This window comes from Homo sapiens, chromosome 7 (assembly GCF_000001405.40).
Source record: "Homo sapiens chromosome 7, GRCh38.p14 Primary Assembly".
Classification (NCBI taxonomy): domain Eukaryota; kingdom Metazoa; phylum Chordata; class Mammalia; order Primates; family Hominidae; genus Homo; species Homo sapiens.
Genome location: NC_000007.14, coordinates 4,575,554 through 4,601,635, shown reverse-complemented (window position 1 = coordinate 4,601,635; position 26,082 = coordinate 4,575,554). Strand labels below are relative to the sequence as shown.

The 26,082-nt window shown below is 43.0% G+C and overlaps 1 protein-coding gene across 1 annotated transcript, besides 1 other annotated feature; it reads left to right on the top strand.

The window, feature by feature from the left end:
* The first annotated feature begins 2,128 nt into the window (after positions 1-2,128).
* Positions 2,129-9,784, top strand: LOC124901580 (endogenous retrovirus group K member 6 Env polyprotein). The gene is made up of 2 exons (XM_047421136.1): positions 2,129-2,311; positions 7,668-9,784. Exon 2 carries the CDS (start codon positions 7,685-7,687, stop codon positions 9,782-9,784), a length of 2,100 nt encoding a protein of 699 aa, XP_047277092.1. The 5' UTR covers positions 2,129-2,311; positions 7,668-7,684.
* Positions 25,007-25,207: a silencer, noted in NCBI's record as "peak6348 fragment used in MPRA reporter construct". NCBI's record gives its function as "represses an SCP1 promoter by STARR-seq MPRAs in K562 erythroleukemia cells {active_cell/tissue: K562}" and the evidence as "EXISTENCE:reporter gene assay evidence [ECO:0000049][PMID:32103011]".

Genomic DNA, 26,082 nt, shown 5'->3' with positions numbered 1-26,082 from the left:
GTTACATGGATATGTTTTCTTGTTACAAGGATATATTTCACAGTGGGGAAGTCTGGGCTTTTAGTGTAACCATCACTTGAATAGTGTACATCGTACCCATTGAGTAACTTCTTATTCCTCTCTCCCCCTGCCCCCACCCTTCAGAGTCTCCAGTGTCTATTATTACACATTCTATGTCCATGGGTACACGTGATTTAGCTCCCACTGATAAATAAGAACATGCCATATTTGATTTTGTTTCTGAGTTGCTTCTTTTTTCTTTCTTTTCTTTTTTTTTTTTTTGAGATGGAGTCTTGCTCTATTGCCCAGGCTGGAGTGCAGTGGGTGCGATCTCGGCTCACTGCAAGCTCCACCTCCCGGGTTCACGCCATTCTCCTGCGTCAGCCTCCCGAGTAGCTGGGAGTACAGGCGCCCGCCATCACGCCCGGCTAATTTTTTGTATTTTTAGTAGAGACGGGGTTTCACCGTGTTAGCCTGGATGGTCTTGATCTCCTGACCTCATGATCGGCCTGCCTTGGCCTCCCAAAGTGTTGAGATTACAGGCGTGAGCCACCGTGCCCGGTCCTGAGTTGTTTCTTAAAAAAAATTTTAGATTCAGGGCCAGGGGCAGTGGCTCACGCCTGTAATCCCAGCACTTTGGGAGGTCAAGGCGGGTGGCTCACCTGAGGTTGGGAGTTCAAGACCAGCCTGACCAACATGGAGAAACCCCGTCTCTCCTAAAAATACAAAAACATTAGCAGGGCGTGGTGGTGTGCACCTGTAGTCCCAGCTACTTGGGAGGCTGAGGCAGGAGAATTGCTTGAACCCGGGAGGTGGAGGTTGCGGTGAGCTGAGATTGCACCATTGCACTCCAGCCTGGGCAACAAGAGTGAAACTCCATCTCAAAAAAAACAACAACAAAAAAAAACAATTTAGATTCAGGGGGTTCATGTGTGAGTGTACTGAACGATGCTGACGTTTGGGCTTCTATCCATCTTGTCACCCAGTGAACACAATACCCACAGCACCCAAGAGATGATTTTTCTTCTCTCTTTTTTCTTTCTTTTTTTTTTTTTTTTGAGACGAAGTCTCACTCTGTTGCCCAGGCTGGAGTGCAGTAGCACAGTCTCGGCTCATTGCAACCTCTGCCCTCCTGGTTCAAGGGATTCTCCTGCCTCAGCCTCCCAAGTAGCTAGGGTTACAGGAGTGCGCCATCACGCCCAGCTAGTTTTTTATTTTTAGTAGAGATGGGTTTCTGTGGGGAAAAGCAAGAGAGATCAGATTGTTACTGTGTCTGTGTAGAAAGAAGTAGACATAGGAGACTCCATTTTGTTATGTACTAAGAAAAATTCTTCTGCCTTGAGATTCTGTTAATCTATGACCTTACCCCCAACCCCGTGCTCTCTGAAACATGTGCTGTGTCCACTCAGGGTTAAATGGATTAAGGGCGGTGCAGGATGTGCTTTGTTAAACAGATGCTTGAAGGCAGCATGCTCCTTAAGAGTCATCACCACTCCCTAATCTCAAGTACCCAGGGACACAAAAACTGCGGAAGGCCGCAGGGACCTCTGCCTAGGAAAGCCAGGTATTGTCCAACGTTTCTCCCCATGTGATAGCCTGAAATATGGCCTCGTGGGAAGGGAAAGACCTGACCGTCCCCCAGCCCGACACCCGTAAAGGGTCTGTGCTGAGGAGGATTAGTAAAAGAGGAAGGAATGCCTCTTGCAGTTGAGACAAGAGGAAGGCATCTGTCTCCTGCCTGTCCCTGGGCAATGGAATGTCTCGGTATAAAACCCGATTGTATGCTCCATCTACTGAGATAGGGAAAAACCGCCTTAGGGCTGGAGGTGGGACCTGCGGGCAGCAATACTGCTTTGTAAAGCACTGAGATGTTTATGTGTATGCATATCTAAAAGCACAGCACTTAATCCTTTACATTGTCTATGATGCAAAGACCTTTGTTCACATGTTTGTCTGCTGACCCTCTCCCCACAATTGTCTTGTGACCCTGACACATCCCCCTCTTCGAGAAACACCCACAGATGATCAATAAATACTAAGGGAACTCAGAGGCTGGCGGGATCCTCCATATGCTGAACGCTGGTTCCCCGGGTCCCCTTCTTTCTTTCTCTATACTTTGTCTCTGTGTCTTTTTCTTTTCCAAATCTCTCGTCCCACCTTACGAGAAACACCCACAGGTGTGTAGGGGCAACCCACCCCTACATCTGGTGCCCAACGTGGAGGCTTTTCTCTAGGGTGAAGGTACGCTCGAGCGTGGTCATTGAGGACAAGTCGACGAGAGATCCCGAGTACATCTACAGTCAGCCTTACGGTAAGCTTGTGCGCTCGGAAGAAGCTAGGGTGATAATGGGGCAAACTAAAAGTAAAATTAAAAGTAAATATGCCTCTTATCTCAGCTTTATTAAAATTCTTTTAAAAAGACGGGGAGTTAAAGTATCTACAAAAAATCTAATCAAGCTATTTCAAATAATAGAACAATTTTGCCCATGGTTTCCAGAACAAGGAACTTTAGATCTAAAAGATTGGAAAAGAATTGGTAAGGAACTAAAACAAGCAGGTAGGAAGGGTAATATCATTCCACTTACAGTATGGAATGATTGGGCCATTATTAAAGCAGCTTTAGAACCATTTCAAACAGAAGAAGATAGCGTTTCAGTTTCTGATGCCCCTGGAAGCTGTATAATAGATTGTAATGAAAACACAAGGAAAAAATCCCAGAAAGAAACGGAAGGTTTACATTGCGAATATGTAGCAGAGCCGGTAATGGCTCAGTCAACGCAAAATGTTGACTATAATCAATTACAGGAGGTGATATATCCTGAAACGTTAAAATTAGAAGGAAAAGGTCCAGAATTAGTGGGGCCATCAGAGTCTAAACCACGAGGCACAAGTCCTCTTCCAGCAGGTCAGGTGCCTGTAACATTACAACCTCAAAAGCAGGTTAAAGAAAATAAGACCCAACCGCCAGTAGCCTATCAATACTGGCCTCCGGCTGAACTTCAGTATCGGCCATCCCCAGAAAGTCAGTATGGATATCCAGGAATGCCCCCAGCACCACAGGGCAGGGCGCCATACCCTCAGCCGCCCACTAGGAGACTTAATCCTACGGCACCACCTAGTAGACAGGGTAGTAAATTACATGAAATTATTGATAAATCAAGAAAGGAAGGAGATACTGAGGCATGGCAATTCCCAGTAACGTTAGAACCGATGCCACCTGGAGAAGGAGCCCAAGAGGGAGAGCCTCCCACAGTTGAGGCCAGATACAAGTCTTTTTCGATAAAAAAGCTAAAAGATATGAAAGAGGGAGTAAAACAGTATGGACCCAACTCCCCTTATATGAGGACATTATTAGATTCCATTGCTCATGGACATAGACTCATTCCTTATGATTGGGAGATTCTGGCAAAATCGTCTCTCTCACCCTCTCAATTTTTATAATTTAAGACTTGGTGGATTGATGGGGTACAAGAACAGGTCCGAAGAAATAGGGCTGCCAATCCTCCAGTTAACATAGATGCAGATCAACTATTAGGAATAGGTCAAAATTGGAGTACTATTAGTCAACAAGCATTAATGCAAAATGAGGCCATTGAGCAAGTTAGAGCTATCTGCCTTAGAGCCTGGGAAAAAATCCAAGACCCAGGAAGTACCTGCCCCTCATTTAATACAGTAAGACAAGGTTCAAAAGAGCCCTATCCTGATTTTGTGGCAAGGCTCCAAGATGTTGCTCAAAAGTCAATTGCTGATGAAAAAGCCCGTAAGGTCATAGTGGAGTTGATGGCATATGAAAACGCCAATCCTGAGTGTCAATCAGCCATTAAGCCATTAAAAGGAAAGGTTCCTGCAGGATCAGATGTAATCTCAGAATATGTAAAAGCCTGTGATGGAATCGGAGGAGCTATGCATAAAGCTATGCTTATGGCTCAAGCAATAACAGGAGTTGTTTTAGGAGGACAAGTTAGAACATTTGGAAGAAAATGTTATAATTGTGGTCAAATTGGTCACTTAAAAAAGAATTGCCCAGTCTTAAATAAACAGAATATAACTATTCAAGCAACTACAACAGGTAGAGAGCCACCTGACTTATGTCCAAGATGTAAAAAAGGAAAACATTGGGCTAGTCAATGTCGTTCTAAATTTGATAAAAATGGGCAACCATTGTCGGGAAACGAGCAAAGGGGCCAGCCTCAGGCCCCACAACAAACTGGGGCATTCCCAATTCAGCCATTTGTTCCTCAGGGTTTTCAGGGACAACAACCCCCACTGTCCCAAGTGTTTCAGGGAATAAGCCAGTTACCACAATACAACAATTGTCCCCCGCCACAAGCGGCAGTGCAGCAGTAGATTTATGTACTATACAAGCAGTCTCTCTGCTTCCAGGGGAGCCCCACAAAAAACCCCCACAGGGGTATATGGACCCCTGCCTAAGGGGACTGTAGGACTAATCTTGGGACGATCAAGTCTAAATCTAAAAGGAGTTCAAATTCATACTAGTGTGGTTGATTCAGACTATAAAGGCGAAATTCAATTGGTTATTAGCTCTTCAATTCCTTGGAGTGCCAGTCCAAGAGACAGGATTGCTCAATTATTACTCCTGCCATATATTAAGGGTGGAAATAGTGAAATAAAAAGAATAGGAGGGCTTGGAAGCACCGATCCAACAGGAAAGGCTGCATATTGGGCAAGTCAGGTCTCAGAGAACAGACCTGTGTGTAAGGCCATTATTCAAGGAAAACAGTTTGAAGGGTTGGTAGACACTGGAGCAGATGTCTCTATCATTGCTTTAAATCAGTGGCCAAAAAATTGGCCTAAACAAAAGGCTGTTACAGGACTTGTCGGCATAGGCACAGCCTCAGAAGTGTATCAAAGTACGGAGATTTTACATTGCTTAGGGCCAGATAATCAAGAAAGTACTGTTCAGCCAATGATTACTTCAATTCCTCTTAATCTGTGGGGTCGAGATTTATTACAACAATGGGGTGCGGAAATCACCATGCCCGCTCCATCATATAGCCCCACGAGTCAAAAAATCATGACCACGATGGGATATATACCAGGAAAGGGACTAGGGAAAAATGAAGATGGCATTAAAATTCCAGTTGAGGCTAAAATAAATCAAGAAAGAGAAGGAATAGGGAATCCTTGTTAGGGGCGGCCACTGTAGAGCCTCCTAAACCCATACCATTAACTTGGAAAACAGAAAAACCAGTGTGGGTAAATCAGTGGCCGCTACCAAAACAAAAACTGGAGGCTTTACATTTATTAGCAAATGAACAGTTAGAAAAGGGTCATATTGAGCCTTCGTTCTCACCTTGGAATTCTCCTGTGTTTGTAATTCAGAAGAAATCAGGCAAATGGCGTATGTTAACTGACTTAAGGGCTGTAAACGCCGTAATTCAACCCATGGGGCCTCTCCAACCCGGGTTGCCCTCTCCGGCCATGATCCCAAAAGATTGGCCTTTAATTATAATTGATCTAAAGGATTGCTTTTTTACCATCCCTCTGGCAGAGCAGGATTGCGAAAAATTTGCCTTTACTATACCAGCCATAAATAATAAAGAACCAGCCACCAGGTTTCAGTGGAAAGTGTTACCTCAGGGAATGCTTAATAGTCCAACTATTTGTCAGACTTTTGTAGGTCGAGCTCTTCAACCAGTTAGAGAAAAGTTTTCAGACTGTTATATTATTCATTATATTGATGATATTTTATGTGCTGCAGAAACGAAAGATAAATTAATTGACTGTTATACATTTCTGCAAGCAGAGGTTGCCAATGCTGGACTGGCAATAGCATCTGATAAGATCCAAACCTCTACTCCTTTTCATTATTTAGGGATGCAGATAGAAAATAGAAAAATTAAGCCACAAAAAATAGAAATAAGAAAAGACACATTAAAAACACTAAATGATTTTCAAAAATTACTAGGAGATATTAATTGGATTCGGCCAACTCTAGGCATTCCTACTTATGCCATGTCAAATTTGTTCTCTATCTTAAGAGGAGACTCAGACTTAAATAGTAAAAGAATGTTAACCCCAGAGGCAACAAAAGAAATTAAATTAGTGGAAGAAAAAATTCAGTCAGCGCAAATAAATAGAATAGATCCCTTAGCCCCACTCCAACTTTTGATTTTTGCCACTGCACATTCTCCAACAGGCATCATTATTCAAAATACTGATCTTGTGGAGTGGTCATTCCTTCCTCACAGTACAGTTAAGACTTTTACATTGTACTTGGATCAAATAGCTACATTAATCGGTCAGACAAGATTACGAATAATAAAATTATGTGGGAATGACCCAGACAAAATAGTTGTCCCTTTAACCAAGGAACAAGTTAGACAAGCCTTTATCAATTCTGGTGCATGGAAGATTGGTCTTGCTAATTTTGTGGGAATTATTGATAATCATTACCCAAAAACAAAGATCTTCCAGTTCTTAAAATTGACTACTTGGATTCTACCTAAAATTACCAGACGTGAACCTTTAGAAAATGCTCTAACAGTATTTACTGATGGTTCCAGCAATGGAAAAGCAGCTTACACAGGACCGAAAGAACGAGTAATCAAAACTCCATATCAATCGGCTCAAAGAGCAGAGTTGGTTGCAGTCATTACAGTGTTACAAGATTTTGACCAACCTATCAATATTATATCAGATTCTGCATATGTAGTACAGGCTACAAGGGATGTTGAGACAGCTCTAATTAAATATAGCATGGATGATCAGTTAAACCAGCTATTCAATTTATTACAACAAACTGTAAGAAAAAGAAATTTCCCATTTTATATTACACATATTCGAGCACACACTAATTTACCAGGGCCTTTGACTAAAGCAAATGAACAAGCTGACTTACTGGTATCATCTGCACTCATAAAAGCACAAGAACTTCATGCTTTGACTCATGTAAATGCAGCAGGATTAAAAAACAAATTTGATGTCACATGGAAACAGGCAAAAGATATTGTACAACATTGCACCCAGTGTCAAGTCTTACACCTGCCCACTCAAGAGGCAGGAGTTAATCCCAGAGGTCTGTGTCCTAATGCATTATGGCAAATGGATGTCACGCATGTACCTTCATTTGGAAGATTATCATATGTTCACGTAACAGTTGATACTTATTCACATTTCATATGGGCAACTTGCCAAACAGGAGAAAGTACTTCCCATGTTAAAAAACATTTATTGTCTTGTTTTGCTGTAATGGGAGTTCCAGAAAAAATCAAAACTGACAATGGACCAGGATATTGTAGTAAAGCTTTCCAAAAATTCTTAAGTCAGTGGAAAATTTCACATACAACAGGAATTCCTTATAATTCCCAAGGACAGGCCATAGTTGAAAGAACTAATAGAACACTCAAAACTCAATTAGTTAAACAAAAAGAAGGGGGAGACAGTAAGGAGTGTACCACTCCTCAGATGCAACTTAATCTAGCACTCTATACTTTAAATTTTTTAAACATTTATAGAAATCAGACTACTACTTCTGCAGAACAACATCTTACTGGTAAAAAGAACAGCCCACATGAAGGAAAACTAATTTGGTGGAAAGATAATAAAAATAAGACATGGGAAATAGGGAAGGTGATAACGTGGGGGAGAGGTTTTGCTTGTGTTTCACCAGGAGAAAATCAGCTTCCTGTTTGGATACCCACTAGACATTTGAAGTTCTACAATGAACCCATCAGAGATGCAAAGAAAAGCACCTCCGCGGAGACGGAGACATCGCAATCGAGCACCGTTGACTCACAAGATGAACAAAATGGTGACGTCAGAAGAACAGATGAAGTTGCCATCCACCAAGAAGGCAGAGCCGCCAACTTGGGCACAACTAAAGAAGCTGACGCAGTTAGCTACAAAATATCTAGAGAACACAAAGGTGACACAAACCCCAGAGAGTATGCTGCTTGCAGCCTTGATGATTGTATCAATGGTGGTAAGTCTCCCTATGCCTGCAGGAGCAGCTGCAGCTAACTATACCTACTGGGCCTATGTGCCTTTCCCGCCCTTAATTCGGGCAGTCACATGGATGGATAATCCTACAGAAGTATATGTTAATGATAGTGTATGGGTACCTGGCCCCATAGATGATCGCTGCCCTGCCAAACCTGAGGAAGAAGGGATGATGATAAATATTTCCATTGGGTATCATTATCCTCCTATTTGCCTAGGGAGAGCACCAGGATGTTTAATGCCTGCAGTCCAAAATTGGTTGGTAGAAGTACCTACTGTCAGTCCCATCTGTAGATTCACTTATCACATGGTAAGCGGGATGTCACTCAGGCCACGGGTAAATTATTTACAAGACTTTTCTTATCAAAGATCATTAAAATTTAGACCTAAAGGGAAACCTTGCCCCAAGGAAATTCCCAAAGAATCAAAAAATACAGAAGTTTTAGTTTGGGAAGAATGTGTGGCCAATAGTGCGGTGATATTACAAAACAATGAATTCGGAACTATTATAGATTGGGCACCTCGAGGTCAATTCTACCACAATTGCTCAGGACAAACTCAGTCGTGTCCAAGTGCACAAGTGAGTCCAGCTGTTGATAGCGACTTAACAGAAAGTTTAGACAAACATAAGCATAAAAAATTGCAGTCTTTCTACCCTTGGGAATGGGGAGAAAAAGGAATCTCTACCCCAAGACCAAAAATAGTAAGTCCTGTTTCTGGTCCTGAACATCCAGAATTATGGAGGCTTACTGTGGCCTCACACCACATTAGAATTTGGTCTGGAAATCAAACTTTAGAAACAAGAGATCGTAAGCCATTTTATACTATTGACCTGAATTCCAGTCTAACAGTTCCTTTACAAAGTTGCGTAAAGCCCCCTTATATGCTAGTTGTAGGAAATATAGTTATTAAACCAGACTCCCAGACTATAACCTGTGAAAATTGTAGATTGCTTACTTGCATTGATTCAACTTTTAATTGGCAACACCGTATTCTGCTGGTGAGAGCAAGAGAGGGCGTGTGGATCCCTGTGTCCATGGACCGACCGTGGGAGGCCTCGCCATCCGTCCATATTTTGACTGAAGTATTAAAAGGTGTTTTAAATAGATCCAAAAGATTCATTTTTACTTTAATTGCAGTGATTATGGGATTAATTGCAGTCACAGCTACGGCTGCTGTAGCAGGAGTTGCATTGCACTCTTCTGTTCAGTCAGTAAACTTTGTTAATGATTGGCAAAAAAATTCTACAAGATTGTGGAATTCACAATCTAGTATTGATCAAAAATTGGCAAATCAAATTAATGATCTTAGACAAACTGTCATTTGGATGGGAGACAGACTCATGAGCTTAGAACATCGTTTCCAGTTACAATGTGACTGGAATACGTCAGATTTTTGTATTACACCCCAAATTTATAATGAGTCTGAGCATCACTGGGACATGGTTAGACGCCATCTACAGGGAAGAGAAGATAATCTCACTTTAGACATTTCCAAATTAAAAGAACAAATTTTCGAAGCATCAAAAGCCCATTTAAATTTGGTGCCAGGAACTGAGGCAATTGCAGGAGTTGCTGATGGCCTCGCAAATCTTAACCCTGTCACTTGGGTTAAGACCATTGGAAGTACTACGATTATAAATCTCATATTAATCCTTGTGTGCCTGTTTTGTCTGTTGTTAGTCTGCAGGTGTACCCAACAGCTCCGAAGAGACAGCGACCATCGAGAACGGGCCATGATGACGATGGCGGTTTTGTCGAAAAGAAAAGGGGGAAATGTGGGGAAAAGCAAGAGAGATCAGATTGTTACTGTGTCTGTGTAGAAAGAAGTAGACATAGGAGACTCCATTTTGTTATGTACTAAGAAAAATTCTTCTGCCTTGAGATTCTGTTAATCTATGACCTTACCCCCAACCCCGTGCTCTCTGAAACATGTGCTGTGTCCACTCAGGGTTAAATGGATTAAGGGCGGTGCAGGATGTGCTTTGTTAAACAGATGCTTGAAGGCAGCATGCTCCTTAAGAGTCATCACCACTCCCTAATCTCAAGTACCCAGGGACACAAAAAGTGCGGAAGGCCGCAGGGACCTCTGCCTAGGAAAGCCAGGTATTGTCCAACGTTTCTCCCCATGTGATAGCCTGAAATATGGCCTCGTGGGAAGGGAAAGACCTGACCGTCCCCCAGCCCGACACCCGTAAAGGGTCTGTGCTGAGGAGGATTAGTAAAAGAGGAAGGAATGCCTCTTGCAGTTGAGACAAGAGGAAGGCATCTGTCTCCTGCCTGTCCCTGGGCAATGGAATGTCTCGGTATAAAACCCGATTGTATGCTCCATCTACTGAGATAGGGAAAAACCGCCTTAGGGCTGGAGGTGGGACCTGCGGGCAGCAATACTGCTTTGTAAAGCACTGAGATGTTTATGTGTATGCATATCTAAAAGCACAGCACTTAATCCTTTACATTGTCTATGATGCAAAGACCTTTGTTCACATGTTTGTCTGCTGACCCTCTCCCCACAATTGTCTTGTGACCCTGACACATCCCCCTCTTCGAGAAACACCCACAGATGATCAGTAAATACTAAGGGAACTCAGAGGCTGGCGGGATCCTCCATATGCTGAACGCTGGTTCCCCGGGTCCCCTTCTTTCTTTCTCTATACTTTGTCTCTGTGTCTTTTTCTTTTCCAAATCTCTCGTCCCACCTTACGAGAAACACCCACAGGTGTGTAGGGGCAACCCACCCCTACATCTGGTGCCCAACGTGGAGTCTTTTCTCTAGGGTGAAGGTACGCTCGAGCGTGGTCATTGAGGACAAGTCGACGAGAGATCCCGAGTACATCTACAGTCAGCCTTACGGTAAGCTTGTGCGCTCGGAAGAAGCTAGGGTGATAATGGGGCAAACTAAAAGTAAAATTAAAAGTAAATATGCCTCTTATCTCAGCTTTATTAAAATTCTTTTAAAAAGACGGGGAGTTAAAGTATCTACAAAAAATCTAATCAAGCTATTTCAAATAATAGAACAATTTTGCCCATGGTTTCCAGAACAAGGAACTTTAGATCTAAAAGATTGGAAAAGAATTGGTAAGGAACTAAAACAAGCAGGTAGGAAGGGTAATATCATTCCACTTACAGTATGGAATGATTGGGCCATTATTAAAGCAGCTTTAGAACCATTTCAAACAGAAGAAGATAGCGTTTCAGTTTCTGATGCCCCTGGAAGCTGTATAATAGATTGTAATGAAAACACAAGGAAAAAATCCCAGAAAGAAACGGAAGGTTTACATTGCGAATATGTAGCAGAGCCGGTAATGGCTCAGTCAACGCAAAATGTTGACTATAATCAATTACAGGAGGTGATATATCCTGAAACGTTAAAATTAGAAGGAAAAGGTCCAGAATTAGTGGGGCCATCAGAGTCTAAACCATGAGGCACAAGTCCTCTTCCAGCAGGTCAGGTGCCTGTAACATTACAACCTCAAAAGCAGGTTAAAGAAAATAAGACCCAACCGCCAGTAGCCTATCAATACTGGCCTCCGGCTGAACTTCAGTATCGGCCATCCCCAGAAAGTCAGTATGGATATCCAGGAATGCCCCCAGCACCACAGGGCAGGGCGCCATACCCTCAGCCGCCCACTAGGAGACTTAATCCTACGGCACCACCTAGTAGACAGGGTAGTAAATTACATGAAATTATTGATAAATCAAGAAAGGAAGGAGATACTGAGGCATGGCAATTCCCAGTAACGTTAGAACCGATGCCACCTGGAGAAGGAGCCCAAGAGGGAGAGCCTCCCACAGTTGAGGCCAGATACAAGTCTTTTTCGATAAAAAAGCTAAAAGATATGAAAGAGGGAGTAAAACAGTATGGACCCAACTCCCCTTATATGAGGACATTATTAGATTCCATTGCTCATGGACATAGACTCATTCCTTATGATTGGGAGATTCTGGCAAAATCGTCTCTCTCACCCTCTCAATTTTTACAATTTAAGACTTGGTGGATTGATGGGGTACAAGAACAGGTCCGAAGAAATAGGGCTGCCAATCCTCCAGTTAACATAGATGCAGATCAACTATTAGGAATAGGTCAAAATTGGAGTACTATTAGTCAACAAGCATTAATGCAAAATGAGGCCATTGAGCAAATTAGAGCTATCTGCCTTAGAGCCTGGGAAAAAATCCAAGACCCAGGAAGTACCTGCCCCTCATTTAATACAGTAAGACAAGGTTCAAAAGAGCCCTATCCTGATTTTGTGGCAAGGCTCCAAGATGTTGCTCAAAAGTCAATTGCCGATGAAAAAGCCCGTAAGGTCATAGTGGAGTTGATGGCATATGAAAACGCCAATCCTGAGTGTCAATCAGCCATTAAGCCATTAAAAGGAAAGGTTCCTGCAGGATCAGATGTAATCTCAGAATATGTAAAAGCCTGTGATGGAATCGGAGGAGCTATGCATAAAGCTATGCTTATGGCTCAAGCAATAACAGGAGTTGTTTTAGGAGGACAAGTTAGAACATTTGGAAGAAAATGTTATAATTGTGGTCAAATTGGTCACTTAAAAAAGAATTGCCCAGTCTTAAATAAACAGAATATAACTATTCAAGCAACTACAACAGGTAGAGAGCCACCTGACTTATGTCCAAGATGTAAAAAAGGAAAACATTGGGCTAGTCAATGTCGTTCTAAATTTGATAAAAATGGGCAACCATTGTCGGGAAACGAGCAAAGGGGCCAGCCTCAGGCCCCACAACAAACTGGGGCATTCCCAATTCAGCCATTTGTTCCTCAGGGTTTTCAGGGACAACAACCCCCACTGTCCCAAGTGTTTCAGGGAATAAGCCAGTTACCACAATACAACAATTGTCCCCCGCCACAAGCGGCAGTGCAGCAGTAGATTTATGTACTATACAAGCAGTCTCTCTGCTTCCAGGGGAGCCCCCACAAAAAACCCCCACAGGGGTATATGGACCCCTGCCTAAGGGGACTGTAGGACTAATCTTGGGACGATCAAGTCTAAATCTAAAAGGAGTTCAAATTCATACTAGTGTGGTTGATTCAGACTATAAAGGCGAAATTCAATTGGTTATTAGCTCTTCAATTCCTTGGAGTGCCAGTCCAAGAGACAGGATTGCTCAATTATTACTCCTGCCATACATTAAGGGTGGAAATAGTGAAATAAAAAGAATAGGAGGGCTTGGAAGCACTGATCCAACAGGAAAGGCTGCATATTGGGCAAGTCAGGTCTCAGAGAACAGACCTGTGTGTAAGGCCATTATTCAAGGAAAACAGTTTGAAGGGTTGGTAGACACTGGAGCAGATGTCTCTATCATTGCTTTAAATCAGTGGCCAAAAAATTGGCCTAAACAAAAGGCTGTTACAGGACTTGTCGGCATAGGCACAGCCTCAGAAGTGTATCAAAGTACGGAGATTTTACATTGCTTAGGGCCAGATAATCAAGAAAGTACTGTTCAGCCAATGATTACTTCAATTCCTCTTAATCTGTGGGGTCGAGATTTATTACAACAATGGGGTGCGGAAATCACCATGCCCGCTCCATCATATAGCCCCACGAGTCAAAAAATCATGACCAAGATGGGATATATACCAGGAAAGGGACTAGGGAAAAATGAAGATGGCATTAAAATTCCAGTTGAGGCTAAAATAAATCAAGAAAGAGAAGGAATAGGGAATCCTTGCTAGGGGCGGCCACTGTAGAGCCTCCTAAACCCATACCATTAACTTGGAAAACAGAAAAACCAGTGTGGGTAAATCAGTGGCCGCTACCAAAACAAAAACTGGAGGCTTTACATTTATTAGCAAATGAACAGTTAGAAAAGGGTCATATTGAGCCTTCGTTCTCACCTTGGAATTCTCCTGTGTTTGTAATTCAGAAGAAATCAGGCAAATGGCGTATGTTAACTGACTTAAGGGCTGTAAACGCCGTAATTCAACCCATGGGGCCTCTCCAACCCGGGTTGCCCTCTCCGGCCATGATCCCAAAAGATTGGCCTTTAATTATAATTGATCTAAAGGATTGCTTTTTTACCATCCCTCTGGCAGAGCAGGATTGCGAAAAATTTGCCTTTACTATACCAGCCATAAATAATAAAGAACCAGCCACCAGGTTTCAGTGGAAAGTGTTACCTCAGGGAATGCTTAATAGTCCAACTATTTGTCAGACTTTTGTAGGTCGAGCTCTTCAACCAGTTAGAGAAAAGTTTTCAGACTGTTATATTATTCATTGTATTGATGATATTTTATGTGCTGCAGAAACGAAAGATAAATTAATTGACTGTTATACATTTCTGCAAGCAGAGGTTGCCAATGCTGGACTGGCAATAGCATCTGATAAGATCCAAACCTCTACTCCTTTTCATTATTTAGGGATGCAGATAGAAAATAGAAAAATTAAGCCACAAAAAATAGAAATAAGAAAAGACACATTAAAAACACTAAATGATTTTCAAAAATTACTAGGAGATATTAATTGGATTCGGCCAACTCTAGGCATTCCTACTTATGCCATGTCAAATTTGTTCTCTATCTTAAGAGGAGACTCAGACTTAAATAGTAAAAGAATGTTAACCCCAGAGGCAACAAAAGAAATTAAATTAGTGGAAGAAAAAATTCAGTCAGCGCAAATAAATAGAATAGATCCCTTAGCCCCACTCCAACTTTTGATTTTTGCCACTGCACATTCTCCAACAGGCATCATTATTCAAAATACTGATCTTGTGGAGTGGTCATTCCTTCCTCACAGTACAGTTAAGACTTTTACATTGTACTTGGATCAAATAGCTACATTAATCGGTCAGACAAGATTACGAATAATAAAATTATGTGGGAATGACCCAGACAAAATAGTTGTCCCTTTAACCAAGGAACAAGTTAGACAAGCCTTTATCAATTCTGGTGCATGGAAGATTGGTCTTGCTAATTTTGTGGGAATTATTGATAATCATTACCCAAAAACAAAGATCTTCCAGTTCTTAAAATTGACTACTTGGATTCTACCTAAAATTACCAGACGTGAACCTTTAGAAAATGCTCTAACAGTATTTACTGATGGTTCCAGCAATGGAAAAGCAGCTTACACAGGACCGAAAGAACGAGTAATCAAAACTCCATATCAATCGGCTCAAAGAGCAGAGTTGGTTGCAGTCATTACAGTGTTACAAGATTTTGACCAACCTATCAATATTATATCAGATTCTGCATATGTAGTACAGGCTACAAGGGATGTTGAGACAGCTCTAATTAAATATAGCATGGATGATCAGTTAAACCAGCTATTCAATTTATTACAACAAACTGTAAGAAAAAGAAATTTCCCATTTTATATTACACATATTCGAGCACACACTAATTTACCAGGGCCTTTGACTAAAGCAAATGAACAAGCTGACTTACTGGTATCATCTGCACTCATAAAAGCACAAGAACTTCATGCTTTGACTCATGTAAATGCAGCAGGATTAAAAAACAAATTTGATGTCACATGGAAACAGGCAAAAGATATTGTACAACATTGCACCCAGTGTCAAGTCTTACACCTGCCCACTCAAGAGGCAGGAGTTAATCCCAGAGGTCTGTGTCCTAATGCATTATGGCAAATGGATGTCACGCATGTACCTTCATTTGGAAGATTATCATATGTTCACGTAACAGTTGATACTTATTCACATTTCATATGGGCAACTTGCCAAACAGGAGAAAGTACTTCCCATGTTAAAAAACATTTATTGTCTTGTTTTGCTGTAATGGGAGTTCCAGAAAAAATCAAAACTGACAATGGACCAGGATATTGTAGTAAAGCTTTCCAAAAATTCTTAAGTCAGTGGAAAATTTCACATACAACAGGAATTCCTTATAATTCCCAAGGACAGGCCATAGTTGAAAGAACTAATAGAACACTCAAAACTCAATTAGTTAAACAAAAAGAAGGGGGAGACAGTAAGGAGTGTACCACTCCTCAGATGCAACTTAATCTAGCACTCTATACTTTAAATTTTTTAAACATTTATAGAAATCAGACTACTACTTCTGCAGAACAACATCTTACTGGTAAAAAGAACAGCCCACATGAAGGAAAACTAATTTGGTGGAAAGATAATAAAAATAAGACATGGGAAATAGGGAAGGTGATAACGTGGGGGAGAGGTTTTGCTTGTGTTTCACCAGGAGAAAATCAGCTTCCTGTTTGGATACCCACTAGACATTTGAAGTTCTACAATGAACCCATCAGAGATGCAAAGAAAAGCACCTCCGCGGAGACGGAGACATCGCAATCGAGCACCGTTGACTCACAAGATGAACAAAATGGTGACGTCAGAAGAACAGATGAAGTTGCCATCCACCAAGAAGGCAGAGCCGCCAACTTGGGCACAACTAAAGAAGCTGACGCAGTTAGCTACAAAATATCTAGAGAACACAAAGGTGACACAAACCCCAGAGAGTATGCTGCTTGCAGCCTTGATGATTGTATCAATGGTGGTAAGTCTCCCTATGCCTGCAGGAGCAGCTGCAGCTAACTATACCTACTGGGCCTATGTGCCTTTCCCGCCCTTAATTCGGGCAGTCACATGGATGGATAATCCTACAGAAGTATATGTTAATGATAGTGTATGGGTACCTGGCCCCATAGATGATCGCTGCCCTGCCAAACCTGAGGAAGAAGGGATGATGATAAATATTTCCATTGGGTATCATTATCCTCCTATTTGCCTAGGGAGAGCACCAGGATGTTTAATGCCTGCAGTCCAAAATTGGTTGGTAGAAGTACCTACTGTCAGTCCCATCTGTAGATTCACTTATCACATGGTAAGCGGGATGTCACTCAGGCCACGGGTAAATTATTTACAAGACTTTTCTTATCAAAGATCATTAAAATTTAGACCTAAAGGGAAACCTTGCCCCAAGGAAATTCCCAAAGAATCAAAAAATACAGAAGTTTTAGTTTGGGAAGAATGTGTGGCCAATAGTGCGGTGATATTACAAAACAATGAATTCGGAACTATTATAGATTGGGCACCTCGAGGTCAATTCTACCACAATTGCTCAGGACAAACTCAGTCGTGTCCAAGTGCACAAGTGAGTCCAGCTGTTGATAGCGACTTAACAGAAAGTTTAGACAAACATAAGCATAAAAAATTGCAGTCTTTCTACCCTTGGGAATGGGGAGAAAAAGGAATCTCTACCCCAAGACCAAAAATAGTAAGTCCTGTTTCTGGTCCTGAACATCCAGAATTATGGAGGCTTACTGTGGCCTCACACCACATTAGAATTTGGTCTGGAAATCAAACTTTAGAAACAAGAGATCGTAAGCCATTTTATACTATTGACCTGAATTCCAGTCTAACAGTTCCTTTACAAAGTTGCGTAAAGCCCCCTTATATGCTAGTTGTAGGAAATATAGTTATTAAACCAGACTCCCAGACTATAACCTGTGAAAATTGTAGATTGCTTACTTGCATTGATTCAACTTTTAATTGGCAACACCGTATTCTGCTGGTGAGAGCAAGAGAGGGCGTGTGGATCCCTGTGTCCATGGACCGACCGTGGGAGGCCTCGCCATCCGTCCATATTTTGACTGAAGTATTAAAAGGTGTTTTAAATAGATCCAAAAGATTCATTTTTACTTTAATTGCAGTGATTATGGGATTAATTGCAGTCACAGCTACGGCTGCTGTAGCAGGAGTTGCATTGCACTCTTCTGTTCAGTCAGTAAACTTTGTTAATGATTGGCAAAAAAATTCTACAAGATTGTGGAATTCACAATCTAGTATTGATCAAAAATTGGCAAATCAAATTAATGATCTTAGACAAACTGTCATTTGGATGGGAGACAGACTCATGAGCTTAGAACATCGTTTCCAGTTACAATGTGACTGGAATACGTCAGATTTTTGTATTACACCCCAAATTTATAATGAGTCTGAGCATCACTGGGACATGGTTAGACGCCATCTACAGGGAAGAGAAGATAATCTCACTTTAGACATTTCCAAATTAAAAGAACAAATTTTCGAAGCATCAAAAGCCCATTTAAATTTGGTGCCAGGAACTGAGGCAATTGCAGGAGTTGCTGATGGCCTCGCAAATCTTAACCCTGTCACTTGGGTTAAGACCATTGGAAGTACTACGATTATAAATCTCATATTAATCCTTGTGTGCCTGTTTTGTCTGTTGTTAGTCTGCAGGTGTACCCAACAGCTCCGAAGAGACAGCGACCATCGAGAACGGGCCATGATGACGATGGCGGTTTTGTCGAAAAGAAAAGGGGGAAATGTGGGGAAAAGCAAGAGAGATCAGATTGTTACTGTGTCTGTGTAGAAAGAAGTAGACATAGGAGACTCCATTTTGTTATGTACTAAGAAAAATTCTTCTGCCTTGAGATTCTGTTAATCTATGACCTTACCCCCAACCCCGTGCTCTCTGAAACATGTGCTGTGTCCACTCAGAGTTGAATGGATTAAGGGCGGTGCAGGATGTGCTTTGTTAAACAGATGCTTGAAGGCAGCATGCTCCTTAAGAGTCATCACCACTCCCTAATCTCAAGTACCCAGGGACACAAAAAGTGCGGAAGGCCGCAGGGACCTCTGCCTAGGAAAGCCAGGTATTGTCCAAGGTTTCTCCCCATGTGAAAGTCTGAAATATGGCCTCGTGGGAAGGGAAAGACCTGACCGTCCCCCAGCCCGACACCCGTAAAGGGTCTGTGCTGAGGAGGATTAGTAAAAGAGGAAGGAATGCCTCTTGCAGTTGAGACAAGAGGAAGGCATCTGTCTCCTGCCTGTCCCTGGGCAATGGAATGTCTCGGTATAAAACCCGATTGTATGCTCCATCTACTGAGATAGGGAAAAACCGCCTTAGGGCTGGAGGTGGGACCTGCGGGCAGCAATACTGCTTTGTAAAGCACTGAGATGTTTATGTGTATGCATATCTAAAAGCACAGCACTTAATCCTTTACATTGTCTATGATGCAAAGACCTTTGTTCACATGTTTGTCTGCTGACCCTCTCCCCACAATTGTCTTGTGACCCTGACACATCCCCCTCTTCGAGAAACACCCACAGATGATCAATAAATACTAAGGGAACTCAGAGGCTGGCGGGATCCTCCATATGCTGAACGCTGGTTCCCCGGGTCCCCTTCTTTCTTTCTCTATACTTTGTCTCTGTGTCTTTTTCTTTTCCAAATCTCTCGTCCCACCTTACGAGAAACACCCACAGGTGTGTAGGGGCAACCCACCCCTACAGGTTTCACCATCTTGGTCAGGCTGGTCTTGAACTCCCGACTTTAGGTGATCCACCTAATATCTAAAATCCCCCAAATTACAATCCACAAAGCTTAAAATTTCCAATGTTGAAGTCCCGAAAGCCTAATTCTGGGGAAGGACTTTGTGCATTTTCTATTGTAGCATGATAGTTACATCATGTGAGATGGACCTATTATCTTGTTATTGTCTTTATCCGAAAATTAAGTATGACTTAAGCAGATCCCCAGAGGCCAAGTTGAACAGGGATAGATGTATGGACTTAATTTAGTGGGCCAACTTGACTGGATTAAGGAATACCTAGAAACCTAACCAAGTTTATTATTATTATTATTATAAAAAGCATCATTGTGTCTTTGAGGTGTGTCTGCAAAGGTGTTTCCAGAGGAGATTAGTGTGGGCCTGAGTGAACTGGTTGGGGAAGATGTGCCTTCAGTGTTGGTGGGCACCATCCAATCAGCTGCAAGCCCAGACAGAGCAAATACAGAAGTCAAACTGGTCTCTCTGGGAGCTGGGACAGACTTTGCTGCTGCTGCCTTGGACATCAGATCTGCCCCAGCCTCACAGGTCTGTGGGCTCCAGGACTTACACCAGTGGCCCCCACTGGGTCCTGAGGCTTTTAGCGTTGGACTGAAGAGTTACACCATCAACTCCCCTGGTTCTGAGGCCTTCAGACTTGAACTGAACCACAAAGCTGCCATCACCCCAGGGTCTCCAGCTTGCAGATGGTCTATCATAAGACTTCTCAGCCCCTATAACCATGTAAGCCAACCCCTCCAATAAATTCCCTCTCATCCATCCATATCCATATTCTGTTGGTTCTGTCTCCCTGGAGAACCCTGATTAATACAGATTTGGTATTGGGAAAAGCGAAATATCATTCATTCTTCCTGTATTCCTTAAGACACAATGGAAGAGACCTGTGAAACTGTCCCCTTGAAAATAAAAGGCCATATTATACATACGGGGCTACTTAATGGTAAAAGATAAAAGTTTAAAGGCTAATTATTATTGGTGCTTCAAAAGCAGAAAATCGCTTAATTGCAATGGCCAGCACATGCTTACAAAATCAGTAGACCACAACCACTCTCCAAACATAAGTGCAGCAAGTGTTTCCAAGATTACAGAAGAAATGAAAATGCAGGTGAAAAATGAAATACAAGAAATCTCCCCTGCCAAATTATTCGATCATGTACGACTTCTGCCCCTTCACACAGGGTCACCAATTCGCGATGCTAGGTATTTCGCCTTTGCATCATTTCCAATACTGGAGGTATAAATTGTGTAAAGACTTTTAGAGAGTTCTAATTCATTTTATGCAGTTTCTGGGGGGAAGTTAACTCCAGGAAAGTGCATGATCAGAGTGACTTCATGGGTAAGCATGGTGTGTGTACATAAAAATGTTGGACCTTCCTCAGTAAACGAAGAGATGTTCTTTTAGTACACCTGAATTTGTGAAAGAAATCTCGAGGTCGTGACTCTTTGGGCCACTGTACATGCAGTGCTGACCCATTGTGGGTTTTTTTTATTTGTTTGTTTGTTTTTGTTTTTTGAGATGGGGTCTTGCTCTGTTGCCCAGGCTGGAGTACAGTGGCGTGACCTTGGCTCACTGCAACCTCCGCCTCCTAGGTTCAAGCAATTCTCTGCTTTAGCCTCCCGAGTAGCTGGGATTACAGGCATGCACCACCGTGCCCGGCTAGTTTTTTTGTATTTTTAGTAGAGATGGGGTTTCACCATGTTGGCCAGGCTGGTCTTGAACTCCTGACCTCGTGATCCACCCACCTCAGCCTCCCAAAGTGCTGGGATTACAGGCGTGAGCCACCGCTCCTGGTCCGTTGTGGTTTCTAATGGATCTCATCAAAAAACAGGTTGTCTGTCGCAGCGTTTCAGATGACCACAGTTATACAGCTGGCCGCACGCAATTACAAACCGGAGTGATATACGTTCATACATTTTGCTTTTTGACCTATTTCTTTAAGAATACAGTTCATCTGTTCATAACTGTTGACCTGTGTGACTGTCATTACTATACTATACCTGAGTATTTATGCTTGCAAAAATATGCATGTTATTATGTCTATTTTATTGTGTAGAGTGGCTGATGAAGTGTCTGTGGTGTTTTTATATGTTTCTCAAATAAATCCTCTTTAAAAATGTAAACAAGTTTCTTTTTTCTTTTCAATACATGGTCTTGTTTTGTCACCCAGGCTGGAGTGCAATCATAGCTCACTGCAGCCTTGATCTCCTGGACTCAGGGACTGCAGATGGGCACCACCATGCCTGGCTAATTTTTATATTTTTTGTAGAGATGGGGTCTTGCTACATTGTCCAAGGTGGTCTCAAGCTTCTGGCCCCAAGTGATGCTCCTACCGTGATTTCCCAAAGAACTGGGCTTACAGGTGTGAGCCACTGCACCTGGCCAAACAAATGCCTTTTAAAGACTTTTTTTTTTTTTTTTTTTTGAGACGGAGTTTCGCTGTTGTTGCCCAGGCTGGAGTGCAGTGGTGCAATCTCGGCTCACCGCAACCTCTGCCTCCCGGGTTCAAGCGATTCTCCTGCCTCAGTCTCCCAAGTAGCCAGGATTACAGGCATGCACCACCACACCCAGCTAATTTTGTATTTTTAGTAGAGACGGGGTTTCTCCATGTTGGTCAAGCTGGTCTTGAACTCCCGACCTCAGGTGATCCGTCTGCCTCAGCCTCCCAAAGTGGTGGGATTACAGGCGTGAGCCACTGCAGCTGGTTAGAAAAGAGGTTTTAATTGGCTCACAGTTCTGTGAGGTGCACAGGCTTCTGCTTCTGGGGAGGCCTCAGGAAACTTACAATCATGGCAGAAGGGCAAAGCGGCAACAGGCACATCTTGCGTGGGGGTAGCAAGTGGAAGAGAGAGTGAAGGGGGATGCGCCACACACTTTTAACCAACCAGATCTCGTGACAACTCTATCACGGGACAGCACCAGGGGGACAGTGCTAAACCATTAGAAACTGCCCTGGTGATCAAATCGCCTCCCACCAGGCTCCATCTCCAACATGGACGATTATAATTCGACGTCAGATTTGGGTGGGGACACAGAGCACAGCCGTATCACACATCATGTCTGTGGCATTTGTGGGTTTTGACCTAGCCTCGGAAGTCACACAACGTCACTTCTGCCTTGTTCTACTGGTCAAGGCGGTCCCAGAGGCTGGCCCAGTTTCAAGGGGAGAAGATGCAGCCCCCGTTGTTTTACTTTAAGAAGAGCGGGTGGGATGGGAGATACTGCTGTGGCTGCTTTTGGGAAACATGATCTGCCTTGAGACAGGAGAGGGGTAGCGGCTAGTGAGACAAGGGATTTGGGAGAATCCTCTGTCAATTTCACCAGAGGCCCGTGTGATCGATTTATAGAAAGAAAAGCCCATAGAAGGGGCATGGCTTCTGGTTCAAATCCCAGCTCATTCAGGAATTCCCAAAGTGAGCTTTTCCCGTTCACGACAAGCTGGCAAGTGTGATGCATGCTCGTGGCGTGGTGGTCAGCATACCAGTTACTCAACACTGCTAGCTGCATTTGGCCAGGTCTGCTGCAAACCCCTCTGCACATCTTAACAATCATGCACAGGCTCCGTACCTGATATGCCCACCTTGTTATAAGGATTGCCACTGTCTGGAGCTGACTCGGTGCTGGGCCACAGTGGGAAGATTCTGCAGAAGGGTCTTGCCATAAAGCAGATAAATCTGGAAAAGCCCAACAACCCAGAAACTCTGTGTTTGTTGAGGGAAGATGCCCTGTTTTCTGGCTTGGACTCAGTGAGCTATCTGCGGTGGTGGCTGGGAAAATGCCTGCTGCTGGAGGGTGACCCATTGGGGTTGGTGTCAGCTTGGGACCTGCCCCTGGGCAGGGCGTGCTGTAAGTTTGCACATCGTGCTCAGGGGATTTAGCACAGCCTCTGAATGAGAGAAATCTTGCCCTTCTGTCCAGGTAAACATTGCATGTTCATGACACGTTCATTTTTGGTCATTTTCCACCCGAACTGCCAATACATTGTGTCTATATATTTTTTCCATCTGCAAAATCTCTTTTCCTTTCCTAACTACCTGACAGCGATATAAAACGCCTGCAAAGTACTTTTTGTTCATCAGACAGAAAAAAAAGACATTACCAAAAGAGAAGATGTTATTAATACTGTACAAGTGTAAAAATGGTGATCAGGGAATTGAGAATAAAGGCTTTATGGAACAGTCACGGTAGTGAATATTTTAGAAATAAAACATACATGATAAAATAATTATTGGAGCAGAGTAATTATCGAACCAAGACTATTCAGGGATGAGAGGAAAAGCTATGCGGGGAGGGGGTGGGGAAGATGAGAAGAAAATTGGTCTGGACACGGTAGCTCACGCCTGTAATCCTAGCACTTTGGGAGGCTGGGGCAAATGGATCACCTGAGGTAAGGAGTTCAAGACCAGCCTGGCCAACAAAGCAAAACTCCGCCTCTACAAAAATACAAAAATTAGCCAGGTGTGGTGGCGTGCACCTGTAGTCCCAGCTATTTGGGAGGCTGAGGCAGGAGAATCGCTTGAACCCGGGAGGTGGAGGTTGCAGTGAGCTGAGATCACGCCACTGCTCTCCAGCCTGGGTGACAGAATGAGACTCCATCTCAAAAAAAAAAAAAAAAAAAAAAAAAAGAACAGAGAAAGTGGAAAATACAGCAGGAGAGAAATATTTATACTTGTCATCTTTCATATTAGTGGCATCTGAAATGTCATGTGTAGAATGAAAAAGAGTTGGTTGGAAAGGAAAGTGGCCATAGTTGAATAAGAATGATTTATTTTAAATTTTTATATTTTTATATATGTCAGTTTTATTGAGGTATAATTTATATCTAGTGAAATTCAATCCTTTCAGTGTGCAGTTTTATCAATTTTGAAAAAGTTGTATAGTCACAGAACCTCCCTGACTATGAGGATCTAGAACATTCTGTCAGCCCGCCAAAGCTCTCTGTCTCTACTCCCCCATCCTGTACTCTCCTCAATGGACCCTAATCCGTCTTCTGCCCCCATCACTCCACTGGAAATTCTCTGGTCAAGGGCAGAGATGACCGCTTGATAATCAAATCCACTGGGCATCTTTAAGATATATTTTAGATGTTTATTCAACCCAGTGCAGTTGGGAAGAAAGTGAGATGGAGGTGAAATCATGTCCCATGTAGTTAAAAAAAACAAAACAAAAACACTAACAAATTCTTGAGTCTGCAGGATGGCCGATGAGAAAAGAAACGACTTTCTGAAACGCTGAAGCTCCCTCTACTTATGAGATTAAAGAACTGGCTGGCATTGGTTAGAACCAAGATGGTGGGCCGGGCGCAATGGCTCACGCCTGTAATCCCAGCACTTTGGAAGGCCGAGGGGGGGGGGGGGGTGGATCACGGGGTCAGGAGTTCGAGACCAGCCTGGTCAACATGGTGAAAACCCGTCTCTACTAAAAATACAAAAAAAAAAAAAAAAAATTAGTTGGGTGTGGTGGCACACATCTGTAGTCCCAGCTACTTGGGAGGCTGAGGCAGGAGAATGGCTTGAACTCGGGAGGCGGAGGTTGCGGTGAGCCGAGATCGTGCCACTGCACTGCAGCCTGGGAAACGGAGCGAGACTACGTCTAAAAGAAAAAAAAAAAAAAAAAAGAACCAAGATGGCTGACCGGAATTTGCGCAGAACATGCTTGCTGCCATCACAGCCTGAATTTGCACTGCATGTTTTATACTCACTCCCCTTGAATCTGCACATGTGACTGCTGAGGAAGTATGAAGAGATAACTGCACACGCCCAAGGGCTTTCCAGGCCTCCCCTTTCCTTCCACCAAGCACCTGCTAAACCCAGAATCCATCCCTGGAACCTATTCTAATAAAATGATTGACTGAAGGCCAGCACAGGGAGACAGATTTGAGCTGGACTCCTGTCTCCTTGGGAGTTGAGTTTTTATTTATTTGTTTACTTGTAATTTATACATAGCTTTTTTTTTTTTTTTTTTAGACAGAGCCTTGCTCAGGCTGTAGTGCAGTGGTGAGATCTCAGCTCACTGCACCCTCTGCCTCCTGGGTTCAGATGATTCTCCTGCCTCAGCCTCCCGAGTAGCTGGGATTACAGGCACCTGCTATCATTCCTGGCTAATTTTTGTATTTCTAGTAGAGACAGGGTTTCACCACGTTGTTCAGGCTGGTCTGGAACTCCTGACCTCAGGTGATCTGCCTGTCTTGGCTTCCCAAATCACTGGGATTACAGGCATTAGCCACCATGCCTGGGCTATATACATATACATATTTACACTTAGACAAGGGGGGGTCTCACTCTGCTGTCCAGGCTGGAGTGCAGTGGTACCATTGTAGCTCACTGCAGCCTCAAATTCCTGATCTCAAGCGATCCTTCTGCCTCAGCCTCCCAAGTACCTGGGACTAGAGGTGTGTGCCACCACTCTTGGCTAATTTTTGTATTTTTTATAGAGATAGGGTCTCATTGTGTTGCCCAGGCTAGTCCAAACTCCTGGGCTCAAGTGATCCTCCTGTCTCGGCCTCTCAGGGTGCTGGGATTACAGGCATGAGTCATTGTACCCAGTCTATTTAAAAATTTGTGTGTGTGTGTGTGTGTGTGTGTGTGTGTGTGTGTGAAACTACACTTCCCTCATTTTCAGATCATGGGGTTAGGTGGGTTTGGTCCTTCTCCTCATCTCCAGGGGCGGGAATTGGCCCCAGCTTGGCCAATCAGCTGATTCAATTTCTCTTGCCATAATAATTGATTGGTTAAGTGATATGGAAGTAACCTGGATTGATTTAATGTCAGCCTTGGAACTTTTGCTGACACTATTGGTAAAGCAATGTCCTTTACCT